Source organism: Homo sapiens, chromosome 6 (assembly GCF_000001405.40).
Source record: "Homo sapiens chromosome 6, GRCh38.p14 Primary Assembly".
NCBI lineage: Eukaryota > Metazoa > Chordata > Mammalia > Primates > Hominidae > Homo > Homo sapiens.
The window spans coordinates 125,268,115-125,281,377 of record NC_000006.12 but is presented as its reverse complement, the minus strand read 5'-3'; the positions used below and the strand labels follow the sequence as shown (position 1 = coordinate 125,281,377).

The 13,263-nt window shown below is 45.7% G+C and overlaps 1 protein-coding gene and 1 long non-coding RNA gene across 4 annotated transcripts in view; one reads left to right on the top strand and one right to left on the bottom strand.

Annotated features, from left to right (window-relative positions):
* HDDC2 (HD domain containing 2) overlaps nucleotides 1-6,028 on the top strand; it is a 26,618-nt gene extending 20,590 nt beyond the window's left edge. For 2 of the 3 annotated variants that reach the window (NM_016063.3, XM_024446450.2), the window contains 2 exons: nucleotides 4,138-4,276; nucleotides 5,135-6,028. In NM_016063.3, the coding sequence (NP_057147.2) occupies nucleotides 4,138-4,276; nucleotides 5,135-5,232 (237 nt within the window). In that variant the 3' untranslated portion in view covers nucleotides 5,233-6,028. Of the gene's footprint in view, nucleotides 1-4,137; nucleotides 4,278-5,134 lie in introns of those variants that run through there. The other variant, XM_047418850.1, reaches the window with a different exon arrangement.
* Nucleotides 5,458-13,263, bottom strand: LOC124901395 (uncharacterized). Its single transcript, XR_007059736.1, has 2 exons — nucleotides 13,113-13,263; nucleotides 5,458-10,862 (listed from the first exon to the last, which is right to left on the bottom strand). It is a non-coding gene; the product is annotated as an uncharacterized LOC124901395 (long non-coding RNA).

Below are 13,263 nucleotides of genomic sequence, written 5' to 3'. Positions count from 1 at the left end.
TACTTCTGTCAATTTGTCCAACTCATTCTCCCTCCAGTTTTGTTCCCTTGCTGGTAAGGAATTGTGATTCTTTGTAGGAGAAGGGGCATTCTATTTTTTTGAATTTTCAGCCTTTTTGCGCTGTTTTTTCCTCATCTTTGTGGATTTATCTACCTTTGGTCTTTGCTGTTGGTGACCTTTGGATGGAGTTTTTGTGTGGTTGTCCTTTCTGTTGATGTTGATGCTATTGCTTTCTGTTTCTTAGTTTTCCTTCTAACAGTCAGGCCCCTCTTCTGCAGGTCTGCTGGCGTTTGCTGAGGGTCCACTCCAGACCCTGTTTGCCTGAGTATCACCAGCAGAGGCTGCAGAACAGCAAAGATTGCTGCCTGTTCCTTCCTCTAGAAGCTTCGTCCCAGAGGGGCACCCCCTAGATGCTAGCCAGAGCTCTCCTGTATGAGATGTCTGTCGACCCCTGCTGGGAGGTGTCTCCCAGTCAGGAAGCATGGAGGTCAGGGAGAGAGTCTGTCCCTTAGCAGAGCTTGAGCACTGTGCTAGGAGATCTGCTGCTGTCTTCAGAGCCGGCAGGCAGGAACATTTAAGTGTACTGAAGCTGCACCCACAGCTGCCCCTTCCCTCAGGTGCTCTGTCTCAAGGAGATGGGAGTTTTATCTATAAGCCCCTGATTAGGGCCACGGCCTTTCTTTCAGAGATGCTCTGCCCAGAGAGGAGGAATTTGGGAGGTAGTCTTGCTACGGCGGCTTTGCAGCGATGTGGTGGGCTCCGCCCAGTTGGAACTTCCAGCAGCTTTGTTTACACTCAAGCCTCAGAAATGGCGGACGCCCCTCCCCCTACCAAGCTCGAGTGTCCCAGGTTGACTTCACACTGCTGTGCTGGCTGCCAGAATTTCAAGCCAGTGGATCTTAGCTTGCTGGGCTCTGTGGAGGTGGGATCCACTGATCAAGACCACTTGGCTCCCTGGCTTCAGCCCCCTTTCTAGGGGAGTGAACAGTGTGTCTTGCTGGTATTCCAGGTTCCACTGGGGTATGAAAAAAAAAATTGTAGCTAGCTCGGTGTCTGCCCAAACGGCTGCCCAGTTTTGTGCTTGAAACCTAGGGCCCTTGTGGTGTAAGCACTCAAGGGAATCCCCTGGTCTGTGGGTTGCAAAGACTGTGGGAAAAGCACAGTATCTGGGCCGGAATGCACCCTTCCTCACAGCACAGTCCCTCATGAGTTCCATTGGCTAGGGGAGGGAGTTCCCCAACCCCTTGCGCTTCCTGGGTGAGGCGACACCTCATCCTGCTTTGGCTCGCCCTCCATGGGCTATACCCACTGTCTAACCAGTCCCAGTGAGATGAACCGGATACCCCAGTTGGAAATGCAGAAATCACCCACCTTCTGCCTTGGTCTTGCTGGGAGCTGCAGACCAGAGCTGTTCCTATTCGGCCATCTTGCCCGGGAATCTCATCTTGTATCATTTTCTTAATGTCTTTTATCTCTTTTTGAAATATAGATTCGAGTTCTCTTTTTAAAATGTAATTATCTTTTTGATATGTCTTTTTGACACAAATTGCCTGTGAGATGTTATTTTGCTTCTTATTCTTTTTATCTTATGGGATAGCTGTATAGGATCTGACCTTTGTGCTTTTCTGTTGCTTATTTTGATTGGCAATTAGTTTTACTGAACTTGGAAAGGAAATTTAGTTCAAATTGCTCTTTTTCTTTGTTATTTTTAATTTATTTATTTTTAAATTGACAAATTGTTTATGGCTCACAACATGGTATTTTGAAATATATAAATGTTGTGGAATGGCTAAGCAAGCTAATTAACATGTGCATTACCTCACATACTATATTTTGTGGTGAGAACAAGTTGCATTTTTAACTTCACAGAGCTGCTTCTGCTTTTGTTGTTGTTGTTGTTGTGTTTTTTTTAAATGTAGCATTAAAAAAATATGGTGGCTTTCTTTTAGAGATGTCCTCCTGGTTTCGTTCCCCTTCCCCATTTTTATCTGGGTCTTTTCTTCATCTGTGTTATCTGTATCCCACTCAATTTTGATTTTCTTCCCAGCAGTTTCTCCTCATGTGGGCCCTCTCCTGGAAAGCAGCCCCAGCAGGTCAGATTGGAAAATTCACTAGGGCTGGGCTGTCTTTGATGTAAGCTCCTTGTGCTCATCCACTATTGGAGTGGGCAAGATCCCTCCCAGTGTCAACTACTGTTCTTAAAATGTGAGATTTCTAGAGAATACCTGTTGGCCCTTTTGAGATTCTCCTATTCTCAGGTCCATCAGACATTAATCCTCTCTTACTCCCATGCTGATGGCATGCAGGGCTTATGGCTGGAGGTGGTTTGTCTCTACTTGCACATATTTGGACTTGATGGGAATGTCATGTCTCCCAGTTTTTGTTTGGGTTTTGCTGTTTCTTTGCTGTGTCAGGTTTTGTCTGTTTCTTCTCTTTTGCTCACTATTTTATCATGAACCTAGTTACTCAAACCAGAAACTAGGCAGTCATTTTCACTTTTCCTTCTCATTTACTTTTATATTTTAGTTCACTTCTTTATCCTTAATATTTCTTAAATCCTACCACTTCTTTCCATTTTCACTGCTACTGTCTTAGACCAGATTCCTATAACGTCTCTGCTAGTGCTACAAAGTCTTAGAATCTGATTTCTCTGCTTCCAATCCAGATATTATCCACCTGTAGTTAGAGTGACCTTTCTGAAATGCAAATCTGAACCTAACTCTTCCTGACATTAAAAGCTACTTGCAATAATTTCTCCAAATGCCATGCATTCTTCTCACCCCTAGAGTTCTGTCTGTAGTATTATTTTGTGTGCTTTGCCTTTTTATTGAAGAATGCCTATATCATTAATTTTTGAGGGAAAATTTCAATAATTTATATTTCTTTTAAAAGAAATCTGTAAGTTCATGAGAACTTGTAATAAGATGTATTGTATTTCCTAATGGTCTTTAAATATTTTTCTCACTTTCAACAGAAAAAAAAATTTCTAGACTGCTATGCTTGGAGTATTCCATTTCCTTTTGTGAAATCATGAACTTGAATTTATTAAACATAAATATATAACTGTGAATGTGAATAAACAAATAAAATGAAATTATTTTTAAGTGCCTTTGAGATAAAGCAAAGTGTATTTGGTTCCATATTTAAATGATTCCCCCATACAGTTCTCAGCTTTATCAAATCCAAGTAGCTGCCTTTATAAGAATAAGCGTGTAATAAAAACTAAGAAACCTTTAATTGATTCATATCACATCACCCTGCCAAGAAACCATGACAGGTTTGTTATCTGAACACATCTGGGGTAGAATTACAAACAAGAACTTGGCAGGGAAACCAGTTGGGAGCACTTTGTTCTTAATAGGAGAATGAATCTATATAGTATTAATTGGGACTTGTGGTTGGGTGGCATGCATCATTCTATAAGAAGCAGAACTCCTGGAGCTTCTTGTTCCAAGTCTGCACTGCAGAGGGAGGGACCAGTGGGAAGGGAAAGGTAAAAAAACTGCTCCCCCCACCACATTCACCACCTCCCACCTGCAACACATGCACATACCGGTGCATGTAAAATCCTCAGATCTTGGCTCTATCCTCAATAGTCTTAACTCAGAGGGACTTAATTAAATCTACCCTATGTGGAAAGTAAGCACAGAGATTCCCAGGTAAAGTGGTAACCAAAAGTAAATGATAAAGCTAGAAATACACTTAGAAATGACAAGGAAACCTGACATGAAATGGAGAGGGAAATACAGGTTTGAGAGGCATAAGACGAAATATCAGCTTGATGTTAAAAATATCTAAACTACTTAGGTAGATTAAAGAACAATGGTCTTAAAATGAAGACACGGTATTAAACAGGAAGAAAAGATCTTGAAAGTACCTAAGATGAACATACAAGATTTCCATGGCTTCTGGTAGAATACTTAGAATGGAGAGCACATCTTTCTTGTATAGAGTCCTGGTGTTAGGCTGTGAAATTACAGAAGTGTCTCTGATGGATTTCTAAACAGTAGAGAAATGGGGCCGATACAGAATGTACTTGTAGCTGTCACTCTGATTTCGGGTACCAGAGTCAGAATTTTCCCAGGATACCCTATTATGCAGCGCTAATCATGCTGCTTTAATTGTCCCTTTACTTAGGAGTACGAGACCCAATCTAGTGCAGAAGCCAAATTTGTGAAGCAGCTAGACCAATGTGAAATGATTCTTCAAGCATCTGAATATGAAGACCTTGAACACAAACCTGGGAGACTGCAAGACTTCTATGATTCCACAGCAGGTACTCAACACCATTTTCAACAAGAGTCCATTTTAGTTTGGCTTACTCAGTGTAGTGACTAATGTTAATATTAGGGAAACCCACTGTTGGTACCTTCATCTGACCCTTTCATGTGGAGCATCTAAAAAGAAAGGGAAGGAAACATTCGGGTAAGAGGCTGAGGATAGGAAATAAATGGAATAGAGTTTAATGTGGAATGAACAGTAAGCAACAACAGACACAGGCAAGAAAAGACGGTGAGAGAAGAGATGTTGGGTTGAACAGTCCCCCATGCTAGCCGTCATGGACATACAATAGCTTAGAGCTTGGTTGCTACCAAAGCAGAAATCTGGGGAGGTCTGAGGAGCAGGGATGACAGCACAGATCAGCCAATTGAAGTGTAGAGGTGTTTACAAGAGAGACACCTGCATCCTTGTTTACATCATGAGCCAGCCTAGCCCCTCTGATCTTCCTCCTTGTCTTTTCATATATAGGTGCTTCATTCTCCTTACTTAATTGCAGGTTTGGAATGGGCAGAGATTGTCTTCAGCTTTCTGGGCTCTCACACCTGAGTTTTCCCATAGTTCCTGGTAGAGGCACTGAGGAGCCTGGTGAAGTTTCCCCTACCTCTGCCTAATTGATGATTCCTTGCCTGAGTCTCATCCTTATTCTCAGTTGCACCTGGGGTGACAGAGCGTAAATGCCAAGTGGTCCCCTTCAGCCCCTTCCCAGGACCTGGAATCTCTTTCTGCTTTGGAATGAAGTGTGGGTCAGATCGTAGACTAGAGCCCCCAGTGAACCCTGGGATCAAGCTGGGGAAATGAATATACTCTCTTGTCAATATGGGAATGTATTTTTCCCTGTTCTTTTGCTTTGCAGGAAAATTCAATCACCCTGAGATAGTCCAGCTTGTTTCTGAACTTGAGGCAGAAAGAAGCACTAACATAGCTGCAGCTGCCAGTGAGCCACACTCCTGAGACACTCTCTAAATTGCTGCACTCCTGTAACAAACATTATTTTTCCATTTCATTGTATTGTGTTTTGCCATTGTTGGTCTGTTGATTTCCCTAGATGTGAGTCTGTTTGTTTTCAATTGTCTGAACTTCAGCAAGAAATGTGATACAACTTGGGCACTAAAAGAAGCCACAGAACAGGAAGCGGTCATGAAAGTGCCATGGATGAACACTGGAGGTGGCAGTGCCTGTTTATGAACTAAATAAATAAATATTAAACACCTAAAATATTAGAATATTTATTGGAGATTTAAAATCATCTTATTCTGACTTAATTACCGATATCCCCGAAGGCTAGGTTCATTGAATAATAGAAAATTTCATTATGATTGCTTTTAAGAACAGATTCTTCAGCTGATTTAGTGATAAGAATCCAGAAAAGAAAATGTACTAGTGATGTATTCTCTCCCCAGATGAAATTGCTGCCTTATTCAGATTTACTCTCTTGAGCCAGATTTTGAATTTCACTGCAGACTGCTTCAGACTTCTAATCATAGGCTTGTAAACCTACTAATAGGCTCTGCCCCTCTTCCCAATACTTTTTGTCATTTAGAGATATAAACCGGGGCATATAAAAATGCAACTTGTATTCCTTTGTATATTTTTCCCTGTCTGACTTATAAATCTTGAGACCTTTATTGTAAAAGCATGTATCATCAGGTGAGAAATATAAATAGGAACTGGGGTCATTGAGCCTCAGGTAGGGAATATATCAACCCGATTTCTTCCTCTCTTTTCCCTTTTATAGGATAAATAATCCACCCTGTCTGCCTTTACATTGAATAGTGCAAAAAAGAATACGATTTCTGCAAACCTGCCCAGTGTTTTGGTGTGGAGCAATGATGCTTGTCCCTTTAATTCAAATGTCACTTTCCATTTGAAGGCCTTCGAGGCTGGCATGGTGAAAATTCTAGGCAGTGTTTCTTTGGAAACTCTTTGCGGTATCCATGGATACCCAATCTGCAGGAAGCAAGGTGCATGATCTTTTCAGAAGCAACACACATATGTATGTGTAATTGCTCTGTATCAAAAAGAAGAAAGAGGGTAAAGTCCATTACTGGATATATGGTTAGTAGGAAAACAACTCCATCTATTAGGATTGTGGAGTTTTTCCCTTGGCATGAAAACATACACACAAAATAACCCCAGATAAAGTTCAAGTATTTATAACCAGAAGGTGTTCTGTGGCCCTGCAGTTTTATTTTCAATGTTTTGTCTACCATAATTTTCATAAATAGCTAACAAAACAATTCACAGAGAGACTTTGGAAACTTCTACTGGGTTAGACTTTATAACTAGTCACTTAACCATTATCTCAGTTCATCATCTACCTACGAAATGGGAGTTTTCAGTTAGTCCTAAACCTTCCTTCCTGAGGAAATACATCTTTTAAAGAAAGAAAGAAAAAAATATAATAGTGTTATAAATAAAACATTTGATGATAAGAAAATAACAAAATGAAGATCAACAAAATAACAGCTCCTGAGCCTACCAGCAATGTCTATAAATGAGCATTATTACTTAAAAATGTTAGTCCTTAGAAGATACCTGCCATTTGCCTAGACTTTGTCTTCTGAATGACAACCCTATAATTACAATGCAGAGTAAATAATTATTCATGGTTTGAACTCAAGAAAAAAGAATTATTTGTTACTGTTTGTCAGATTCTAGCCCAAACTGAGGTCCAAAGGGAGTTGGTGGGCTGGTGGCAGGTAGCTGGAAAAACTTGAGGAATCGTAGGCAGTTTTGACATGGCGTTATTCTCTCTCTAGGCGCGAGCCATATGTACAGCATCAGCAGGGTAGTTAAACCTTTTAGAGACAATAATGGATCCCAGCCAAGCACAGGCTCATGTGAATGGTCACCTAATGTGCCTCACGTGGCATGGTTACATAATGTGTAGAGTTGTGTGCCTGCGTTCCAAACCCACTGAGTCATGCTGTGCCAGAAGGCTGCCTCAGCCTACTCCTGACTAAAATGCAGCCATTTCCCTTACACTCCATCCCCTAGGCTGAGAGGAGTCTTTCAGGTAGGGATACGTGCCCATAGGGTGGAGCCCTGAATCCATAACCCACAACACTACAGAGAGCAACAGCTCATTACCAGGATCCCAGCTATGCTACTTAGGACTGTAAGGGCCCAGCGTAGGCCACAGCCCAGAGATGCCCACCATCTCTGCAGGGGGTTGTCAGTAAGGCTCTCCACCACCTTAATCTCCCATGAGACCTCTTGCAGGGCTGCTGTTATGTTCTGCCAATTGTCAGGGATAAAGGTACAACATTGTGTTCCTAAAAGGGCACAGGTGCCTCCTTGTGCAGCAGGTTACTATGTCTAAGGCCATTCAGTTTTGCAATACCACCTTTCTCATCTGACCAGCCTCATCCATTAACAGGAGGAGGGCCACTTGGGTGTAATTCAGAGCCCGAGTGGTGTGCTCTGCAAGAGCAGTAACTTGTGCTTCTACAGTTGTGACACCCGCCGCAGGGATAGTCACTGTCAAGGGGTAGAACCACTGGGGAGCTCGTCGCACTCACAAAAAATGAGAGTGTAGCGCCTTCCAGTTATGCAGTGTCTGGGCAATGTGGAGAGAACAGTGGCCACCCCCAGTTCCAACATTCCGTCCAGTTCACTGGTAGGTAAGGCCACCCTGTGTGCCCACAGACCCATAAACTCCCAGGGGGCACAAAGTCCCTTGGGGCCCAAACTTGGGGGCTGCTTGTTCCAGCATACCTTCAGTATGGTGACATGTGTTATGTTTACACAGGCTGTGATGGGTACCTATCCCACAGTGGTGTTACCCCAGTGTTGCTCTATGCTCTGCGACACCTGGGCTGGGGGTACTACATGTTCCCCCGCTAGCCAGCCCCAGCCATCATAAATGCTATGGGCCAGCCACATGATGGGAGCACCATGGATCTTGCAGCGTCCTTTGTCCAAAGCTTGCTGCGTTGCATTCCAGATGTCAACCACGGGACCCCAAGTCTCCAGCCATGTCCAGTTCTCTGTAGACACTGAATGTATATGCCAAGGCAAGTCATCTGCAGCTGCTGCTGGAAGGGCAGTGCAGACCCGAAAGTTGGAAACATTGATCACCTCAGCACAGGTGTGGGCGCAGTTTACAATGCAGTTGGAGCATGTTAACCTATGGCCAAAATGACAGAGCAGGCACAGCTACTAACAGAGGTAAGTGACGTCCCTCAGGCAAAATACAGGCTAACTTTTCATCCATGGATAACAATGCAGCTGCCAAGAGCTTCTGCCCTGGGCGATGGTACCACACCTTCTCAGCTCCCCATGGTTCCTATGGGTCCGGTATCTATGCCAAAGTCAAGGGGAAGCTCATAATAGGCCACACAGACAGTACTTATGTCCCCCAGAGGAGCGTTTCTTCCCTGGCTGTTGCCCTAAGAACAATCAACCAAGGGTGACATGTATTGAATGCCCAAGGAGTGACATGCAAGTCATACTGTAGGTCTTCCCCACAGGGAGCTACAACGGCCAACCACCAGCAGTGGGGAGCCTGGAGGGTCCATGGCCAGAGCCAGGTTTTCTGTTCCCCTCCCTTCAGGGGCATTGGGGCAAGCAACAAAAGGTTACCGTTCGTCCCCATACCTGGTCGGAGGAGGTCATCCTTAGTGTGTATCTGCAACTGAATAGGGGTGGTGGCCCAGTGTAATAAAGCCTCCACCAGGGCTGGGCGGTCTTTCCATGGCTGTTCATTCAAGGTTTGAACCACCAGGTCCAGCTTGGAACTCCAGCACTGCAAAGACGGGTGTGACATGCAAGTGTAACCCATTCTTCAAGAGCCCTTTATATTGCTCAATCATACCCACAGCTTGTGGGTTGTATGGCACATGGAATCCCCACTTTATGTCCATTTGTTGTGCACATTGTTGTACCTGTTGTCCAGTGAAATGGGTGCTCTATCACTCTCTATGGCCAGAGGGCAACCATACAGGGCACATAAGTGTTGCAGGACCCGGAGGATGTGCTGTTGGTTGGCCACCCTGCAAGGGTAGATGTACAACAGGCTTGTGGCCATGTCCACAGCTGTTAGCACATGTGTATACCCTTGCAATTTTGGCAGCGGACCGATGTAGTCTACTTACCACCTGGTCAAGATCACTCGCCCTGTTGTCACTTGTGTAAAAGTGGGCAGCTGCCTCCATTTAGGGTATGACCAAGCACATACTGGGCATTTCTGACGAGCCTCCCAAATACCTTGCATGGGCAGGGACAGACCCCAACACTTATTGCCCTGTTACATCAGTTTGCCCCTGGCATGTCCCAGTTTCTGGTGTAGCCAGAAGGCCACATCTTGTGTTGGTGCCGACTAACCATTGGACCTTGGCCAAGACATCTGCCTCATCATTGCCAAAGGTGGCCAAAGGCATATGGCCTGACACATGATAAATAATTACATCTTTCTGATGATCCATTTCCCAGAGGTCTTGCCACATCACTTGGCTCCATGACATAGGTCAGTGGCTGACTAGCCAATTTTGTATTTTCCAAGTAGTTAACCACAAGGTTAAGCCTCGGTAGGCTGCCCAGCTATCGGTACAAATCACCATAGATATCTGCTCCTTAGTGATCACCATCTATACTGCTGTAAGTTCAGCCCATTGGCTACTTTGCCCACACCTGGTTTCAAACCATATGGTGTCTGTACTAGGTTGGACTGCAACAGCGGTCCAGGCAGCATTAGATCCTTGGCTAGACCCATCTGTGTACCATGCCCCATCAGGAATGGGGGGTACCCTTCCTTAAACGGTGATGGCTTGGGGTCTAGGGGTGCCCCAGGCCCTATAGCCTTCTCTTGCATTAGGACTATAGGTCCCAAGACCTCTTGCAATTCTGCTGCCAAGGGTCTTGTACTCAGCAAACTTTGCTGCTCCAAGTAGGTGCCCCACTTTGCCAAAGTAGATGTCTGTGCCATCCCAGTCCAGGGGGGCATTATCCATGAACACATCCATCCCACTATTGGGTAAGCCATCCACATGATGACTGTAGCCCATCCTGTCACACTTTCACAAGACTGAAATGCTGCATATACAGCTGCTAGCTGTTTCTCTATCAAGGACTGTTGGAGCTCAGCTCCTTTCCACAGTTAAGACCAAAAGCCTACTAGTGTTCTCAGGCACTCTGTATGCTGCCACAGGCCCCAACTGAAACCATCTGTGCTCACATGCACATCCAGCTCAAACAGGTGCCCCTGGCCAACTACCCATAGGGCTTGTGCCTGCTGAATAGCCCACTTGGCTGCCAGGAAAGCGGTCTCAGCCATATCCCAATTCCAGGTAGCTCTCTTCTTTGTTAACCGTGCAACAGTTTTGTCATTTGAGCTAAATGGGGCAGAAATGCCCCCCAGTATCCCAGGAAGCCCACAAAAGTTTGTAGCTGCTTCACCGTGGTGGGCCAGGGCTATGCCTGAATTTTGTCAATAATAGCCTCTGGTATGGCCATCATCTTACCTAGACAGGAAACTTCCAATAATTTGGCAGATAATCCAGACCCTTGGACCTTGGATTCATTGATGGCCCAACTGCATGCTGCCAAATGTTGCTGCAAGAGAGGCACCGCCACATCTAAATCTACAAGAGAATCAGAGGTTAACATATCATCAATATAATGGAATAGGTGGACCCCTTCTGCACATTGCCAAGTGGCTAAATCCATGACAACAAGACCATGACATATGGTGGGGCTATGCACATAGCGCTGCGGCCACATTGTAAAAGTCCATTGTTGCCCTTGTCACGTGAAGGCAAACTGTTCCTGGCTCTTGGAGCAATGTCGATGGAGAAAAATGCATTGACCAAGTCCACCACATAGTGGTACTGTCCCAGTTCCATTGTCAAGCAGTCCATCAAATCCATGATTGACGGTACAGCTGCACTCAAAGCGGGTGTTACTTTATTCAGTTCCTGATAGTTTACCGTCATCCGCCTAGTTCCATCAAGCTTTCTAACTGGCCACACTGGAGAATTGTAGGAGCTGTGGATGCCACACACTATCTGCACCTCCTCCAGCTTTTAAATTGTCTCAGTTATCTTCATATGCCCACCCAGCAAATGGTATTGATGGGTGGAAGTAACCAGTTGGGGTTGTGACAGGACCTGAGGCTTGTGATGCCTATGTCCTTGCAGCACCAGCTTCACCAGATGCACTAGGAGTCTGAATTCCCTGGCCGTAGTTTGTAACGCCAGGCCATGTAAAATGTCCACCACCAGGATGTATTCAGGTATGGGGGAGACATACACAGTATATAAACAGGGAGCCAAGTGGCCAATGCCGAGGTACAGAGACACAGGTTTCACTTTCAGTAACCAGCCTCCATAAACATAAATGTAACAGCCTTGCCCAGAAACTTATCTGATTCTCATACACAAGGCTACAATCTGTGCCAATATCTACCAGCACTGACACCCGCTGTACGTTAGTGGGGGACCAGTGAATTGCTAATTCTACATGTGGCCACTGGTCATCTGGTGTCCCCCCAAGCTGGGCACATTGGCCAGTTCCCTAATCAAACAGAAAAGGCTCTACATTTCAGCCTGGCTGCAGCAAGTAGTCCTTGAGTTGGAGCACCTGGGCGGGAATGGGTCACGCAGCAATGTCCTTCTTCCCCTTGGTATTTTCCAGAATTGCTTCTCTGGAGACAAGTGTCTCCACAAAGTTAAGAATACTTCATTGGGCAGTTTATTGATTTTCTCTCAGTCAACCCTGGACAAAATCAAATCTACCCACATCTGTGAGTGTGTCACTCATTGGGGCCCCCTTTTTGCCCATGCGGGAGCCCCCTGTGGGCAGGGCACCTTCCTCTTCTTTATGGTGTGGACCCCTCAGTCCCACCGATGGCCTTCTGCTTCCCCGAGAGCTGCTATAGCAGTGGTCACTTCATGTATGCGGTGCCCTACCTACAGGGTGAGGACAGCAGCTAGGAAGCCAAAGGTGCTCGGGGGTGCAGAGGTAAACATTCATCACCTGGCCCCCGGGTATTCAGGTCAAACATAGCCTGCCATATAACCATCGCCCAGATGACTTGCACCAAATCAGCATATGACTGCCATTTACTCACAGTTTCAGTTATTTCACCAATGTCATTTCACACAGTCCATATGGCTGCCCAAAGCCACTCAATCAGGGTGTGGTAACCTTGCCCTGCCACTAGCCACCTGCTTACTTGCAACCACTGAAGGAGGGAGGGGAGTCATGATGGAGGCCAGCTTTTCCATCCCAGAGGCAGAACAGGGATACTGTCTGCTCCCTCATCCCACAAATGAAGCATGCAGTTGGGCAGGGGTTCCCCTGGACACTGGCGGCACTACTTGCCTAATTCCTGCAACTCAGTTGGGGTATAGGAAATATATGAATTGTGTTGTGTTACCACTCGGGTGGGCTTCCTGGGATATTGGGGGGCATTTGTGCCCCATTAGCTCAAATGACAAAACCGTTGCACGGTTAACAAAGAAGAGAGCTACCTGGAGCTGGGGGAGGGGTGTCCCTGAGCCCACCCTTGGGGCCCCAATGGCTGTTCATGATTTACCTTCCGACAGGCCACTGAGCAAGCCCACAACAGGGGTCCTTCCTCCACGGTATCAGACTGAGTGGGGATCTCCAGCTAAGACAACAGACCCAGCCCTCGAAGGCTCTCTCCTTGTTGGTGCTCTGTGCTTCCAGCTGCTTCAGTGCCTTGTCTGTGCACTGAAGCATGACCCATCTACCACTGCCCGGGTTTCCACCAGAGCCCATCCGAGCAGTACAGCTGCCACTGGGTACCACAGCCCATGTTCTGGCCACATGGCCGACCTGGAATCAGCAGGGACCAAAGGCTCACTCACCTCATGATCCTGCTTACAGCACCAATTGTCAGATTCTAGCCCAAGCTGAGGTCCGAGAGGAGACGGTGGGCAGGTGGTGGGTAGCTGGAAAAACACTCAAGGAATCACAGGCGGTTTTGACATGGCTTTGTTCTTTCTCTGGATGTGAGCT